The following is a 17,990-nucleotide window of genomic DNA, read 5'->3' as shown; positions in this document are numbered from 1 at the left end:
TCCAGAAGGCTGCAGTATTTCCTCCAAGAAAAAAAAAAAAAAAGGCTGCTTCAACCCCTGCTGCAAGCAAAGTTCCGATTCCCTCTGCTGGCTATCTCGAATAGCAAGCGATTTTTGCAGCAACGCTGCTGCCGCTGGAACTGAACCTGAAGAACTCAAATGCGGGCGGTGGATTATTTCTTATCCCTCCTCCATCTACCCCACACAAGAGCTGCTTTTTGTTCCTCTTTTTGCCAAGTTCCAAGGTAAGCCACACTGCTAAACAAAACACAGAAGAGAGGGAAGAGAGGACGAAAGAAGGAAGGAGGAGAAAGGAAAAGAAATAAAGGCAGGGGAACTAACCTTGCTGGTTAAAGGGGAAAAAAGTAAGTCCCGGATGCTTTCAAAATCTGTTAACACGCTAGAGCCAGACGCATCCAAGAGCTGATTGAGAAACTAACCTTTTACTACCTGGAAAACTTGGTGGATGTTAAGTATTGAAGAAATTTTAGGGTCTACTCCAGGACTACTATTAATGCCACATGTCATCAGATTGGACTGATCAACTGAACATATCAAAAATAATAACTTTTTTAAAATACATCCATTTTGTAAAAAAAAAAAAAAAAAAAATCAAAGGAAGTGACCCCTTAGGTTCGTCAGATATTTTACAGATAAAATCTGTTTCTCCCATTGTCTCTCTCTTTATGATTATTTTGTTGCATTGATGCTTTAATCACTTTACTGATATCATCTAAAAAAAAAAGAACAAAAATCATAATTGCTTGGCAGAGTTTTTTCCCACCAATGATAATATTCTGTCATGTCTATCAGCTGCTACATTATAATACAAATTGTTTCAGATAAAATATATTTCCTTAAAGGGTCCCTTTTCAAGGCGGGCGAGGCTAAAATTAGATGTGCCAGCTGTGTTTTGCTGCGAGTGCTCACGCATGCCCAAAGCGTGGGCAGACCAATACTGAGCTCTTTTCTACTTTGTCAAGTCGGCTCTGTTCTCCTGAGCCCAGAGTCTCCTATTTAGATAAAAGGTCCCTGGTACAAATCCAGCTTCCTAGTCAAGAAGAACAGAGAATTTGGGCTCAGTGCACACATGGTGTCCATCCACATACAAGCCGCACCACCCCTAAAGCAACTGGCTTCCACCGAGGGGAACTGGTTTCTGGAAGCTGTGTGAGTGCATACGTGTTCCTTGGATAAAAATAAGGATGGCAGGTAAATAGTTTTATGTTTTACTTTTGACAAGAATAACAATCAGAAGGAAGGAAGGATGGAGGGTGAGAGGGTAAGAGTTAGGAGGCCCTGACAACATGGTGATTGAGAATATTAAATCAACCCCACCTATCTCTTAAATGTATTATTTGGGGCCTCAGTTGTCCCATCTATAAAATAGAAATACTGCCAACTCTCCTGGCTGAAGGCAGTACACTGAATCAGACACTAAAAATGACACTGATTTAAAAATCCTCCAGTGGTGTCACGTTTCTCAAACAATAAAGTCCTGACTCTTTGGAATAGGTTTCAGGACACTTGACGAGCTGTCTGGCCCTGGCTTTCTACTCTAGTCTCGGACTTTCAACTCTGCCCCTCACATCCTATACCGGAGTCACTCTGAGCTACTTTCAGGACAGGAACATGCTCTCAGAGGCTTCTGTCATTCCCTCTTCCTGGAGTGCTCTCCCAAGTCCATCTCCACCTCTTTTACCCTTCAGCCTGTCCTTCAGGTCTCAGTATGGATATCACCTCCTCACAGTAGCTTTCTCTAAACCCTTCCTTCTCTGCTGCACTTTATATTTGCCCTCATAGAAGGCTTATTCTACATGTATTTGCCTGCTTATTGTTTGTTTCTTCCATGATGTTCTAAACTCTAGGGGGGCAGGAGGTCACATTGTTCTCACTTGCCTTTATATTTCCAAAAACTTGCATAGAGTTGAGCACAAAATGGGTGTTCAGTAAATGTCTGAAGAATAAAATGTTAGACATAATTAATAATTTTTCAACCTGACTTACATCCCTCTTTCAGTACATTTCAGTCCCTGTTACAGGTCAAGAATTGACCTGGGTGCAGGATATAGAGGCACATGAATCAGAACAAGGTCCTTCTTTCATCGAGTTTATATTTAGTGGGGAAGGGGGGACAAACAAAGGGATAAAGAAGTAAATATGCAGTATAATGTCAGGAAATACAAAGCGCTGTAAGGAAATATGAAACAGAGTAAAGAGAAACAAAGTCACAGAGATTCTACTTTAAACAAGATAGGAAAATGCTCTCCAAGGAAGAGCCTTGGAAAATGCTTTCCTAAGGTCAAAGCAAGGGTGTGAACCATTCTCTGGGTATTGTGCACTGTGAGAATACTTCGTGTTAATGCCTTGGATCCCATCCAGACTGCCTGGGTTCCAATCCTGCCCCTTCTTCATTCATCTCCCTCAGTTTCTTCATCCATCAAATATCACTATTCACTTCATACAGTTATTTAGAAAACCAACCCAGATAAACACATGAAGCTTTTAAAACACCTTGTACCATGTTGGATCTGCTTAACAAATGCCAGCCTGCACATGGGGGAAAAACATCCCAGTCACAGGGAACAGTAAGTACAGAACGGCCTGCAGTGGGACTGTGTCTTTGGAATGTGCAAGATCCGGCACAGAGGCTGAAATGAAGCAAGTGAGGAAAGACCATAAAATGGGGTTAGGGAGGTACCCTTGGGCCAGATCATATAAACCTTAGTAAAGAACTGATATGGAAAGCTAATTAATTGATAGTTAACAGTACAGCAAGGACTTTATCCAAATATTCAGATTCTACATCTAGTCATCTTCAACTATAGAATGCTGTCATTTAAACAACCTATTAATGCTCCTCCAAGTTCTATCTTGTAAGAACAAAATCCAAGATTGCTTTGGCTAATTCTGCCACCATGGACAAAGGATATAAATACTCTTTCATTAATACATGGTCTAGATACTCCTTAAAGGGAAAAGAATACTGTCTTATTTACAAATGAAAGGCCAAATGACTCCTCAGCCAAAACTGATATAACCCATTATCTGTAAAGTTCCCAGCATGTGTTGATGCTATCAGCAATTTCTACATAAAATTGTTACTTTTTAAAATGCTATTTGATTTCGTTGGATTATTGTAATGTTTTAGGCATAAATTGTCATTAGCTTAAAAACCCTCATTGCACCTTCAAAGCTTTTCTTAAGTAATGCAAAGTAGGTTTACCACCTGTGGGAATTGTAAAACCTGTGTTTTTGTTTTTTATTTTCTTCCCTCAGAGACACCAGTAGCCATGGCAATTCAGGAGGCAAGATACTCACATCAGAAATAGTTTTTATATCATTTCTGCTCTGTTGGAGCAGTAGCGCTTTCCATTTAAATGATCAAGTTAAGGTAGGAGGTAACTGGTTTAAGGCACTCTCTAAATCAGAAGACAGCTGTGTCCTATTTGCCAACTAACCAACAAATTTCATACAAATCCAAGAACAGCAAACTGCATCAAAGGGCATAGACTCTCACTGGGTCACGTGATTCACAGGCTAGACAGAAGAGGCACTGACTGATTGATTGATCGATTGAGTTTTATTTTTTATTTTTTTGAGATGGAGTCTTGCTCTGTTGCCAAGGCTGAAGGGCAGTGGTGTGACGTCAGCTCACTGCAACCTCCGTCTCCCGGGTTCAAGTATTTCTCCTGCCTCAGCCTCCCAAGTAGCTGGTATTACAGGCACCCACTACCATGCCAGGCTAATTTTTATATTTTTAGTAGAGATGGAGTTTTCCCATGTTGGCCAGGTTGTTCTCGAACTCCTAACCTCAGGTGATCCACCTGTCTCGGCCTCCCAGAGTGCTGAGATTACAGGCTTGAGCCACCATGCCCAGATGAGGCACTGATGTAGGACAAGTTTTTGACTAAGGGGCCTGAGATGATGCCTCAGACCTGCCACTGGGAAATGGGGAAGCAATAGCACCGAAATGCTGAAATGAAGGTCACCGGGGTAGAGATGAGAATGCTCTTCTAGTTTGCTCTTGACTTATCCACTCAGAGAATAACTGAGTCCTTTCTTTGGATGATTTGTGTTTTAAATTATAAAGATTTATTCAAGGCTGGGTGCAATGGCTCACACCTGTAATCCTAGCACTTTGGGAGGCCAAGGCGAGTGGATCACCTGAGGTTGGAAGTTTGAGACCAGCCTGACCAACATGGTGAAACCCCGTCTCTACTAAAAATACAAAAATTAGCCTGGTGTGGTGGTGCATGCCTGTAATTCCAGCTACTCGGGAGGCTGAGGCAGGAGAATCACTTGAACCCGGGAGGCGGAGGTTGTAGAGAGCCAAGATTGCACCATTGCACTCCAGCTTGGGTGACAGGAGGGAAACTCCATCTAAAAAAAAAGATTCAGTGGAAAGCAAGAGAAAAGAACAGAAGTCGAAAGACAAACCGTAATTCTACTACCCTAAAAACTACATACATATACCCTTCTATCTTTAAGAAGGACATGCATGACCTTGAAAGAATTTTTGTAAATCTTTGCATTTTATGCCCACTTTATTTAAATGTATTAAATCCCTCTCCAACACAGCACTTGTCAAAGGAATGTTAAACATAAAAGTTGTTTAAATATATATATATAAAATGGTAGATTTCAAATTCCAACATTAAGGTACTGTTACAACTTTTTTTTTCTCTGCAGAATACTTACCAATGGTTTAGGAAAACACCCAAGACAAATTAGGAGAGACAACTAGTGATTCAAGTGTATGTGGTCCAAATTTAAACAATAGTTGAATATAAAAATATTGATGTAAAGATGATTAAAATTAGCCTTGAAAGACAATATCAAACCTCAGGACAAAATTGTACCATAATTTAGTTTGAGACATTTAATCAGGTAGAAAAGCAAGAAGAAATAAAAACAATGAGAATTATTAACTTCAACAGCGTTTTATTGAATACTTACTATGTGCCTAAATAATTGAGGGTACCAATATAAATATTATTGTCCCTGTCCTCAAATGGATTTAACAACTCTATATTTCTAAACACCAGCCATTCATGTATAATCTTTATGTTTTTTCTCATATCTGAGAACCAACTTGTAACAATAGTTATTAAATAGTTTTCTTTAAATCGTCTTAATTTTTTTCTGAAATACATACTTTGTTAGAAAGCAAAAATACACATGAAGGATTATGTCTATTTTTATTCTATCATCTTTGCAAAAACTACATGTTCTGTATCCTCTCTTTCTATCTCCATTTTTCATAGCATTTAATACTTGTGGTAGGGACATCCAGTTCTTTGTTACCACTGGGATTACCAAGATTCACATTTTCTCACTCCACTGAAAGTAGGCCTGGCCACGTGACTTGCCAAGGCCAATAAAACATGAAGCAGCAGTGACACATGTAAAAGCTTTTAGCTGCTGCTGTTTGATTCTTCTTTAGTGGAAACACGTGCTGACATGAAGGAGCCGCAAGAAGGGAGCATCTTGGAAAGCTGAGGGCAGCAAATTTGGATAGCTGCCTGGACTAGCCACTGTGGACTTCTCATAATCAAGAAATAAACCTTTGCTACAGTGTACTAGTAAAATGTGGTGATTGTTACCAGAGATTATCCTAGGCCACCTGTTTAATACAGCATTACTTATAATTTGGTTATACATTTTTGGTTTTCTTATTTGGGTATATCTCCCACTAATATCTAAGCTCCACAGGGCAATGAGTTTATTTAACACATTATATTCCAATGCACAGAATAGTCCTTGGGATTTAATACACTCTTAATAAATATTTCTTAAATAAATAAATGGAGTACTTCCCTCTTATTCATAGGGGATATATTCCAAGACTCCCAGTGGATGCCTGAAATCTTGGATAGTACTGAATCCTATAAGTAATGTTTTTTTTCCTACGCATACATATGTGTGACAGATTTATTTATTAACTAGGCACAATATGAGAATAACAACAATAATAATACAAAAGATAATTATAACAATATACTGTAGTAAAAGTTATATGAGTCTTTCTCTCAGTCTCTCAAAATGTCATACTGTACCACTGGTAACCGAAACCTGAAGCCACAGAAACAAAACTGGGAAAAAGCTATGGGGGCAGGAAACTACTGCAAATGGTTTCTCTGAAATCATCTCATTTATGTGCTAGTGGTTAACGGACACTATTTTGTGAAAAAATAAAAGGGTAAATGAGACTTATACCCAAAAGGTAAAAAATGTTAGGTTTTCTGGAAGGAGCACTGTTAAAGTACTAGGTATTCTGAAGAGGGAAATGTTTTTGTACACTGACTGTTGGAAATGGGTACTGGAGTTGATGAGCTAAAAAAGAAAAAAGTTAGAGTGTTATGAATTGAATGCTTGTATCCTCCCCAGACTCATGTGTTGAAATTCTAACCCCCAGTGTGATGGTATTAGCAGGTGGGACCCTTGGGAGATAATTTTGTTAGTAGAGCAGAGGCTTCATGAATGAGATTAGTGTCTTTATAAGAGGAGATATTGAAGAGGTGATCTCTCTTTCCTCTCTGCCATGTGAGGATACAATGAGAAGACCTGCCTTCTGCAAACCCGGAGGCAAGCCCTCATCAGACACCAGGTCTGCTGCCACCATGATGTTGGACTGCTCAGCCTCCAGAACTGTGAGAAATAAATGTTTGTTGCTTAAGCCACTCAGTCTATGGTAATTTGTTATAGCATCCTGAACTGATTGAAACAAAAAAGAAAAAAATATATTAATACATGGCCTACTACACAGTATATACTACTAGTAATATAAATATTTCCTCAATAAATATTCACAAGTACCTGGGAAGTAGGCACGATTTTTCACACTTTACAACAGAGGAAATTGAGAAGATGAGGATGTAACTACCCTATCCAAGTTTGCCCAGTTACAACATGGTAGAGGAATATTCCTGACTCATGTCTGTGTAGGGCCCAGAGGCTTAGTCCTCAGCATCATCTGATGGCAATCTTAAATGCTTTATTTGAAAATTGGATGAGATAACCTTTGTGTTTAAAATGGAAAAACAGTATACATATAAGTTCTAAATAAGTCAATTGTGTCTGCATGGAGACAGACAAAAAACTGGAAAGAAAGAGCATGTCTTTTTATCACATAGCAAAAACTCTCTCTGGATGACAAATGTGATGGTTAATTGCACCTGTCAACCTGGCATGGCTATGGTGCCAGTTGTGTGGTCATACACTAGTCTAAGTGTTGCTGTGAGGTATTTTTTAAATGTGGTTAACATTTAAATTAGGGCACTTTGAGTAAAGCATATTACCCTTCGTAATGTAGGTGGGCCTCATCAGTCAGTTGAAGGCCTTAAGCATAAACACCCAAGATCTTTGGAGAAGGAAGAAATTCTGCTCCCAGGCTGCCTCTGAACTCAAGACTCTTTACCAACTCTTCCCCAGGTCTCCAGCCTGCTGGCTCACCCTGAAGGTTATTGTGGGGACCCTCCAGCTCCCACAATAATTGTGTGAACCAATTCCTTGAAATCTCTCATATATATATATATATGAAATATGGTTCCACTTCTTTGGAAAATCCTAATATAATGAAAGATAAATAAGGCAGCTATAAAAGTCAGTGAGATGGGCACTCTAATACATTCCTAATAAATATCTATAATGCTTCTAATATAATTTAGACAAAATATATAGTCTTAAAGATCATTTTCCAGTCATTTCAGTTCTAAGAATCTAAAATAGATCATCCGATTAACATTTTAAGTGTAAGTAATTGGAGTAACCTGATGTCCAGGCCTAGCAGGTTGGTTAAATAAATCACCAATGAATAAATTATGATTCAACCATTAAAATGATACTGAGAAAAAATTTATCAATATGGAAAATGTTTAGGGTGATTAACTAATGGAAAAAAATCAGAATATGATATTATATATGCAGGTTTTCAACTATGAAATACAAAGAGAATGGAAGAACAATACCAAAATAACCACAGTGAATTGTTTCCTCTGTGGTTAGGTATTTTGTGATTTTACTTTTCTTTTTGATAAATTTTGGCATTTTCCAATTTATCTTAAAATGAACATGTTATTTCACTATTTAAAGTGAACATTATTTTAAAAGAAATATTAGGGTAAGTGTATTCCAAAGTATAGATTTTTATTATTATCTGAGAGGACATTTTTAAAAGCCCAGAGGTGACAATAGAAAAATAAATTACATGTGTACTTTAGTCATTTCCTCTCTATCTGAACCAAACATCAATTTAAGAAAAGTTTGTCTTTCTTTAAAATCTGGGAGCATTAGTTCTACATCAAAATGATGTCAAAATTCTCATTTAAGACATAAAGACAAATATCACTTAATGAAATAATAACAGCTACCAATGAATGGCAAAGGATAAGTCTTTGAAAGGTTTAAACCTGAATAAGTATGCAATATTTTCACTTTTAACATTCTAATTCTACCTTTGCACTTGATATAGTTTGGATATGTGTCCCTGCACAATCTCATGTTGAATTTTAATCCCCTGTGGGGCATGGTGGTAGGTGTTTGAATCATCAGGGCTGATCCCTCATGGCTTGGTACTGTCTTCGTGATAGAGGGTTCTCACAAGATCTGGTCATTTAAAAGTGTGAGGCATCTCTCACCCCATACTTTTGATTCTGCTTTTGCCATGTGTTGTGCCTACTTCTTCTTTGCCATCCACCATGATTGTAAGCTCCCTGAAGTCTCCCCAGAAGCTGATGCCAGACCTATGTTTCCTCTACAGCCTGCAGAATCATGAACCAGTTAACCTTATTTTCTCCATAAATTACCCAGTCTCTGGTATTTCCTTATAGCAATACAAGAATAGCCTAATATAGGACTTTTGCCATGTACTTCTCACTAAATTTATATTTTTTTCAAATATTGATACATCTCTTGGCAGTTTGTTTATAATGTGTTATAACAATAGTGGGTTTTTTTTTCAGTCTCTCACTATGCCTTCTGCATGTTTTGATACCACAAATTCCGCTACTTGCAGCCCATGGAGTGAATTTTGTCCTGATGGAGGAGGTAGATTCCAAGTGGTCCTTCTCACAAGCATGCCTTCTACCATGATTAGTACCATCAGCGGAGCAGTGCATTAGAAAACATGCAACTGAAAGCCTCAAGCTAGGGAAAAATATGTAACTTCTTTGCCACATGGGAAACACATTCTTTTCAGAAAGAAGTATCTTCACTTTTATTGACTTCCAGCTTCCAGCTGCCAATAGCTAAGCAAATATGGTCGATATGGCTATATTTGATTTGGCAGGGCCGATTCTTCTCCCCAGAAAAATCTAGAGTGGCAGAAGTCCATGCCAAAAGGCTACTAATTAGAATTGCCACATAAAATACAGGACAGCTGGTTAAATTTGAATTTCAGAAAATAATAAGTTTTAAAATATAAGTATGTCTAAAATATTACATATGGTATGCCTCAAAAAATTTGAACTGAACTTATAAAAATTATTCATTGCTTGTCTGAGATTCAAATTTAGCTGGGTATTTTGTATTTTTATAGCCTAAATCTGGCCACCCTACTCCCAACTGATGTACTGAGACAGTTTACAGGCCTTTCAGAGGACACAGAAGATTTGACGGAGTCTCTAAATGGAATGACAATTGACAATGGTTAATATTTTCTATCGTTTTTACACTTAAACTGTGTAAACCAAAAGTGTCCCCAAATTAACTGCCCTTTAAGAGAGACTTAAACCACCAGTGGTGTTTCTGATATAGAGCAATACAGTATTCCAGGAGCTCTGTTTTCGTTATGGTTTTAAGCTGATGTCTTTCCTTTTGGCATGCGGGAAAATTTAAATTGTTTTCTTAAATTGTTATTCAACACAATAAAGTACTATCTAGAATGACAGATGTCCAGATCCCCATCCCTGATATCAGAAAAGTACAATTCAGAGAGACCAGAAAAATATGCAAAACAGAACAGAAAAGGAGATGAAGGGCAATGCTGCCCAAAGTGTGGTCTGCAGACAAGTGCTGACTGGCAAAATTTACACATCCCTGACCAGTGAGTCTGGGATAAAGAATTCATGTCTAGCAACTTTATGGTCATTTGTCCAAAGAATTGTTAGTCTCTTGTCTATAATAAAGGTTGGACTTGGATTTTGGAAGTCTGCTTTATGCTTTTTCATTTTCTAGTAATTTTCATTCTAGTTTTACAAAAATATCAGCTGGGGTCAATTAAGGATTAAAAACACTAGTTTTCACCACTGATAGAAAAGTGCTGAAAATTTTCTTATTTTCCTTCATTTTCATTTTTACACTTCTAGTGGTAAAAAAAGTTGCATTGATGTGTTTTCTTATTTTAAACAAAAATCTAATTTTTTAAATTTTTGTGAGTACATAGGTGTATATACGTATGGGGTACATGAGATATCCAATTACATTTTAAAAATTATTTTAAAATATACAATTAAGTTATTATGAACTATAGTCACCTTATTGTGCCACAAAATAGTAGGTCTTGTGTTTTCTGATCACAGTACAGAGAGTAAACCCACACGAACTACAAAGGAAAAATTTAATTCCCTCACATTTACTTTACTTGCTTTCTTAACTCTGTTTTCTTTGCCTAGTCCTTACTCTCTAACCTGCACCATACCTTCCTGACTCCGAGGAAGAAATTTAAGAGTATCAAACCCAAAATCAGGACATGCAGGGTTTCTTGGCGGTGACTGTCCCTGGCAATATCAATCCCCCAGCTGGAGCCTCAGTTGCCTTGTGTGTAAAATGCAGGTTGTACTTAGTCATTGAAGGTCACCTTGTGATTCCAAGATTCCTGGACGGCTACAATACGCTTGCTATTAAACTAAGATGAGCCTGCGTCTCTCTGCCTACAGGGGTACACTCACTGGCCCCAGGGGGTGGCTGGCGGGGCTCACATCAGCAACATGAGGTTGTCGCACCTGAGCCAGAGGGTTTGCCAGACTCCCAGCCCCTCCCAGCAACTTTACACTGGGAGGCCCTGACACCCAAAAAAAACCACCACAAATTATGTTTTGCCTTCTAGGGATGACATCCGCATGAACAGCACTAAATTGTGGCCATACAGCCTGCCTGACACTTTTGCCAGTGCCTCAAAAACAGTTAAACCCCTGGTAGTCCAGATGCTCCATCCATCCCACCAGGGCTTCAGTATTCTGGATGTTTATGTTCATTATGCAGTCAGGAAACATAATTATTCGTTTTCCTTTAAGGAAGTTTATGACCGAAGGTAATGGGGGGAACATAAATGTACTGACTGTTTACTGAGACTCATAAATGCTAAGAACACAGACAAATAATTGTCACTGGAGATTTGTTCTTGTAGTGTAGAATCTTTGTTTTTAGCAATTTAACTACTAAAAGTTTACCCACCTTGAGGAGAATTACTTAGCAGGAAATAAAACTTAGCACCTATTTCATTCCTTGCTCCTACAACTCTCATCCTTTCAGAAAATCAGCTTTCACATAAAATATGCAGAAGGTAGCTTGTTATATAGGGCTAGTAAAGCTAAGGGGTAATTAGTACAAGCTAAACCTCTAAATAAAGCCAAGTTTTAACATTTGGGAGTTCTGGATCAACCTTAACTAATATGTTCTGTTTTCCTCTGTGAGAGATGTACTTTGGTACTCACCAATTAACAAGAATCAAAAACAGAAATGTTAAGAAATACGTTCTGTCCAATTAGTAAAAATGTGGCAAGGCTCAGGTTAGCATTTAGCAAGTGTGATGAAATGCTTGTACCTCTTAAGAGTTTAGAACAGTATCCACTTATGACCAGGATGGGTTGTACTGAGCTCATTTTAGGAGGTTTTCTGGGAATGTTTGGCACTGTGTGGTGGAGAAAACAGTGTGAGTGTGAGGCCCCTGAGACTTTGGGACTCCTGTTTGTTTGTTTGTTTGTTTGTTTGTTTGTTTGTTTGTTTTTTTACCTTTTGTAGAGATGAGGTCTCACTATGTTGCTCAGGCTGGTCTCAAACTCCTGGCCTCAAGCGATCCTCCCACCTCAGCCTCCCAAAGCACTAGATTACAGGCATAAGCCACCGCACCTGGCCTTGACTCTTGATCTTAACTGCCATAGTGGTGAGTAAAGGGTGACATCATTGGGGGAAAGAGACAGTGAGAGACTCAGCCTGTAGATAGCCTTCCTCTGGCTTCTTCCCTCTCATAGTGGGCAGCTGCATTAAATTTGACAGTTAAACTTGTCTCACCCCTTCCAGCTGGGGCCATTCCCTCATATTCCCCAACATGCATGCAGCCTCTGAGCCAGTAAAGAGAGTGCAAAGTGAACCACCCTAACAACAAAAAATTTTTTTTCTTTTAATACTGAATAAGATTTATTATGCAGCTCACTCTTTGCCTTCCTCTTTACATCCAATGGGAAAGAGATGTGAGAGTTTTTCAGGATTAGCAATGTGCTATCAAATAGCCACCTGCAGGGATGGTACAGAGAAGACTCCCTGGCACCAACTTTGGGGTGTGGCATGTGGGAACCCGAGGCCACCACATCTTCAAAAGGCAGCAGCTGGAAAAGAAGATGTCTGGCCCAGAGGTGCCTCTATTATTCCTCACTCAGGCTGGAAATGTTGGGTTCTTATTCCCCAAAAAAGGCAAGTTCTTGAGAGGAATCAATAAAAGAAAGTCAGTTTATTTGCTCGATACGATGGACATGGATTACCCCCAAAGCATGATTTGGTGTGAAATGCTTTATTCATTTATTTCTAAAGGGCTGTGTGGACCTTATGCCAATGCTTGGGTTTACAATGGTACAAAGACTAAGATAAATTCATCTATTCCCTCACCAGTCATCCTCCCAGGAGAAAGCTACAAATGTTACCAAGGACAGGGATTACAGGCAGAAGACCCCTGTACCTGTACCAAATGGACCTGCAGAGTCTATGGTTCTGATGTATGTCACATGGGAACTAGTCAAGGCCTGTACAACAACAGCTTATTTATTTTTGCTACGAACTCTAAAAATTAGCTTATTTTTTCTGGTAAAGAAACAATGCTTATGTCAAGGCCCCTAGAAAAATCGAATGGTGTTGTTTCATAAGCTCATAATGGAAGGCTCTATCCATTATAACCAGGGATAAATGTATTGGATTCAATATGTTTGGTTTGGGAAATCTCTTTTTGTCAGTTCCAGTATAACCAATTGTCCATTATAGCATGTCCTTGCTAAGAGTAGCTGATGTAGAAATATTTAACCACCCCATCCATAAACATTTATTTTCTCCCAGAGCAGGAAAGGGCTGAGCTTCTCAAGGCCCTAATATTATTTATTTGCCAGAGAAGGGATATGATTTTTATACCAGGTGCAGTTTTCCTTTGGTATATTTTAAAATTTCTGCCTTTGAAATGATTCCTAAAGCTAAGATTCTGACCACTTGCCCTCAGTAAATATCTGGTGATCCTTTTCCCCAACAGATGGGAAGGGCCTCCTGATATGCCCCTGGCCTAATTTCAATTTGGGTAATTGCATTCTGTCGACTTGAAATTTCCTCACCAGTTTCATCTGCCTGGGATATGATGCCTCATTCTTGGTGCTGAACGGCCTGGCGTGCCGTTGGAGACTGGGAACAGCTGGTGCATTCCACCCCAGAAGTGGATGCATTTTAGTGGCAGGTGCAAAGGTTTTCTTCTGCAGAATACAAATTGTGCCCTAGGAATAAGATTCATGAATGCTTTTTATTTTTGCAATAAATATAGGTACCAGAAAATCAGAAATATAAAAGTATCCAGAGCATAAATATGAATTGGGAGAAAAATACGCTTTCACTGAAGCCATTCTATAGTGTGATCTTTTGTACTCCATAAATCTTAAAGTGCCTGTAAGTTTGAATTTGGATAATAAGGATAAATAATTCACATGATGCAGGCAACCATTACTCTGCCATGTACACATATTACCCAGTTGTACACCCACACACATATATATACATATGTATGTGTATGTGTGTGTGTGTGTGTGTGTGTGTGTGTGTGTGTCCCAACTCTTACCTGCTGAGAGTCTTCATCAGTCTAGGATAAAATTGCTTTCCCATGAAACCTCACTAGGCATCCTATGCATACCTCAGTACAGTAGGTCACATATTTAATTTAAAGGAGATTATTTGCTGTACTAAAGTAGAATCTTAAAAGGGATCCTATCCATTTCTGTTTCCCCAGCACCTAGAACTTAATAGGTACTCAATAAATGAATTAAAATACAGACTACATAGTTCAAATCCAATTTGTCCAAGCTCTGACTCCCAAAATGCTATTTCTAAGGGATGTAAATCACCAGGATCTTTAGTAGCCCATGTCACATCCCCTTGGCCACCTTAGCTCTAGGGAACAGTTCCATGAAAGCATAGACTCTCCTTGCGTAAAGTACCCCATCTCAAGCAAATGCCACATAGTGTTCTACTTCTGCCCCAGGACCTTCTCCCAGAGTTGGTTTTCAGAGATGCTGGATACCTGGGTGGAGTGTAGCCTGAAACTAGAGAGCAATTGCACCAATGCAGCACCAAAGAGCATAGGAAAGGAGCTGGTGGGTAAATGTTCCTGTTTCCCAGCCTGCAGGCAGACAAGTCTGGGAGTCCTTTGCACCTTCTCTGGAAGTTTCAGTGACACTGGACCCTACTGACCAACTCCACGTTTTTGTTTTGGTTTGGATTTTGCTGAAAATCTTTTAGCAGTGACTTCGATAACACACCATTATATTGGATTGTCCTCCCACCATCCCCACTCACTCTCTCCTACTTCAGGACATCACATCCCAAGCAAACTATCTGTACCCAAGTCTTTTCCTCAGACATTGATTATAGAGCAATCTAAACTGTGACAACTTGGGACATCACTATGCTGATAGTCACACTAGTAGACTGTCCCCATAAAAACACAGTATGCCTGTTCAGCCACCATTTCATTTTCTTTCCTATCATGAAGCAGATAAATATTATGCCAAGAGTGCTCCGTTACATACAGGCTGACAGATTATATGCCATGCTTACGCCAGGAAATAGGAAGAATAAGACTGCTGCGATGTGTATTCTGAAATATTACATGTTAGCTCTAAATGTTGTATTTTACCAATGACTCAGCAATTATTTTCAGTCTTATAACTAGTGGAAAAGTCTAGATTCTGCCTTATTTTAGCCTCTGCAGGTCACCATACATTAGCTTAGAGGCCCAAGCCCCTGTGTAACTCAAGCTGACTTGAATTCTAATTTGTACTATGCAGCAATCCTGGCGATATCATCTGCATGCTTAGCCTCATGCTGCCTTAGCCCTGGGGATAGAAAAATATTTATGCAGTAAAACTTGTCACTACCATTCTTGTTTTGTGCAGATCATCAGTAGGTAGTGTTATAACCTAAGAGAAGGGCCTTATGAAGTCCATAGTCCACCATTTTAAGTCTATGCAGTTTAGGAAAGTTAGGGCAGCCTAAGAAGGCCAGGCCACCCCTGAGTTGACAGTTCCATACTCACTGTAGGGATAGCCTGTTGGCCCCAAGAGATAGAGAAAGGCAGTGAATGGGTGAACTGCAGAGAATCTCATCAGTTCTTTGGAACAGTTTAGACATCCAACTTCCATGAAGTATTCAAATTGAGGCTAGAATCTGACTTAGGAGCTGGACTGGGGCAAAGGTTAACTGAGGGTCTCACTCAGTTTCAGAAAAAGGACTCCCAGACTTTAAAAATTGTATAAGAGAAGGCCTGCAGGACACCTGAGATCATCTTTATTTGATTTTTGAAAAATTGTTAACTTTTACTTGACTGTAAAAGCTCTACTCTTTTACTATAAAATGTTGAAATGCAAAATTATATAAAAATAAACACAAACATTTACACATATAATCCCATTTGATTCTATCACCCAGAGCTAATTGCTATTAATGTTAAGTCCATTTGCTTCTGGCATTTTCCCATATGAATATATGAATATGTATTTCTCATTTTCTCTCTCTCCTTCTATTTTATGTGTGAGATCCAGATAAAAGCATTATTTTATTGAGATTTTATAAAATTTTCATATACTTCTTTCTTCTGACAACATATTGTAAGCATTTCTTTTGCAAAAAGCATTTTTGGAGTATGTAACATTTAATGATATTTGATGATTCTCTGCTGATAGATGTAAAAATTATTTCTTATGTTTGTTATCACAAGTGAGACTACAACTTCCAAGTATCTTATTTATCTCTTTCTAGGAGTCTTGAGACTTCTCTTCTTTTGGTGTGGATTCCGGAACTCCTTTCTGAAGCAAGAGGCAAATATCTCTCAGCAGAGAATGCCAAGACCAATCACTTAACCATGGCAATCTTACTCAGCATGGTAATTCCCACCCTGATGGTCCCAAGATGGCTGCAGCAGTTTCAGCCATGTTATCCTAATCCACCAACATCTGGAGGTATCTGTCTTTTCAATCTCCATCTATTACAAATGTAGGATACTTTTACCAGAAGGTCCTCCTCTAGACTACTACTCATGTTTCATTGGACAAATTTGGTCCCATGGAATTTCTTAAGTCATTTACTGATGAGGAAAGTGGAATTATCATGACTGGATTAGACTACCTAAGATTCACCACTCCTGAGCCTGGAGAAAGATAATTTTCTCAGAGCAAACAACTGCATATGGCTGAAGATAGGAATGAACTATAAAACAAAATTGGAGTCCTCCAGGAAAGAAAGGGGGAATTAAAGGGAAATGATTGTGTAGGCAAAACACAATAGTCTCCAATGCCAAATAAACTTTGTTTTGTTACTCTCTCATCTACTTTATCACATTTTTTTCCTTGTTACCCTTCTCACCTTAATTCATCACCAATAAGCCTCTTTAAATCAAATTTTTGATGGTCATCCATAAATCTCCAAGAAATTGAGTGATAATTAACATTACAGTGATAATGAGCTTAAGGTCTTGTTTCTTCTTGAAAGCTGGGAGGGTAGGAGGGGAGTGAATGGTAAGAAATTACTTAGTGGGGGCAATACTCATTATTTGGGTGATGGGTTACCCTATAAGTCCAGACTTTACCATTATACAATATATCCATGTAACAAAACTGCATTTGCACCATTTAAATGTATACAAATTTTTAAAAAGAAAGCTCTAAAAGATATAAACATCTTCAAGATCTATAGGAATAAAGCAGTCATGGGGGTGTGGCAGGCAAGAAAGGATTTAAGGCCCAGTTCGCTCCTATGACCTCCTCACTTTATCTCCTATCACACTACTCTGCACACTCTGTTATGGCCACGTCGGCCTCTCTGCAGTTCCTCTAAGAGGCCAGCATTCTCTCACCCTGGGGACTTTGTACTTTACTTCCCTGTGCCCACACCAAGCTTTCTTCATATAACCATGTTACTTAATTCCTCCCTTACTATGAGTTTCTGCTCACGTGCCACCTTATTAAAGAGGTTTGTCCTGACCATCTTATGTAACATAGCAACTTTATTTCATTCTTTGTCCTATTACCCCAGTTTATATATGCTTATGGCTCTTATAACCACCTGACATGGTATGCATTTATTTATTGTTCTTATAAGTAATTATCCATGAGACAAGTGTTTATATTTTGTTCACAGTTTGTTTCTCTGAGCCTAGTATAGTGCCTGACACATATAGGCATGTCTTAAATATGTATAGAATGAACTGATGGGTGGCTACTGGCCATGGGAAACTTAGATGATCTTTCTGTTCCTTAACGTAGATCACAACATAATTCAAGAGGTACCTCATCCTGGGCAGGCATCTTTCTCTATGATAATCAGTAATACCCATAGTAAGCCCAAGTAAGTCGATATCTTTCTTCTTTCATCTACTTTCCTCTAAGCAAGACCCTCATTTTTTAGGGTGAGCTGTTTATGTTGAAAGCTGAACAGCATCTATCATTCTAATAAGAAATAAAAGGCAAATCCCAACAGAGTAGTGACTGAGACACATCCTACAACTTATAATACTCTAATTAGAAAATGTGTTT

The 17,990-nt window shown here is 38.7% G+C and overlaps 1 long non-coding RNA gene across 1 annotated transcript, besides 1 other annotated feature; it reads left to right on the top strand.

Annotated features, from left to right (window-relative positions):
- The first annotated feature begins 36 nt into the window (after window positions 1-36).
- On the top strand, window positions 37-16,782 carry RBMS3-AS3 (RBMS3 antisense RNA 3). The gene is made up of 3 exons (NR_109804.1): window positions 37-245; window positions 6,547-6,653; window positions 16,219-16,782. It is a non-coding gene; the product is annotated as an RBMS3 antisense RNA 3 (long non-coding RNA).
- Window positions 1,001-1,050: an enhancer, noted in NCBI's record as "active region_19623". NCBI's record gives its function as "activates an Ori minimal core promoter by ATAC-STARR-seq in GM12878 lymphoblastoid cells {active_cell/tissue: GM12878}" and the evidence as "EXISTENCE:reporter gene assay evidence [ECO:0000049][PMID:35858748]".
- Window positions 16,783-17,990: the final 1,208 nt, after the last annotated feature.

Source organism: Homo sapiens, chromosome 3 (genome assembly GCF_000001405.40).
Source record: "Homo sapiens chromosome 3, GRCh38.p14 Primary Assembly".
Classification (NCBI taxonomy): Eukaryota; Metazoa; Chordata; class Mammalia; order Primates; family Hominidae; genus Homo; species Homo sapiens.
The sequence above is the reverse complement of the archived record's forward strand: the minus strand, read 5'-3'. Positions and strand labels throughout refer to the sequence as shown.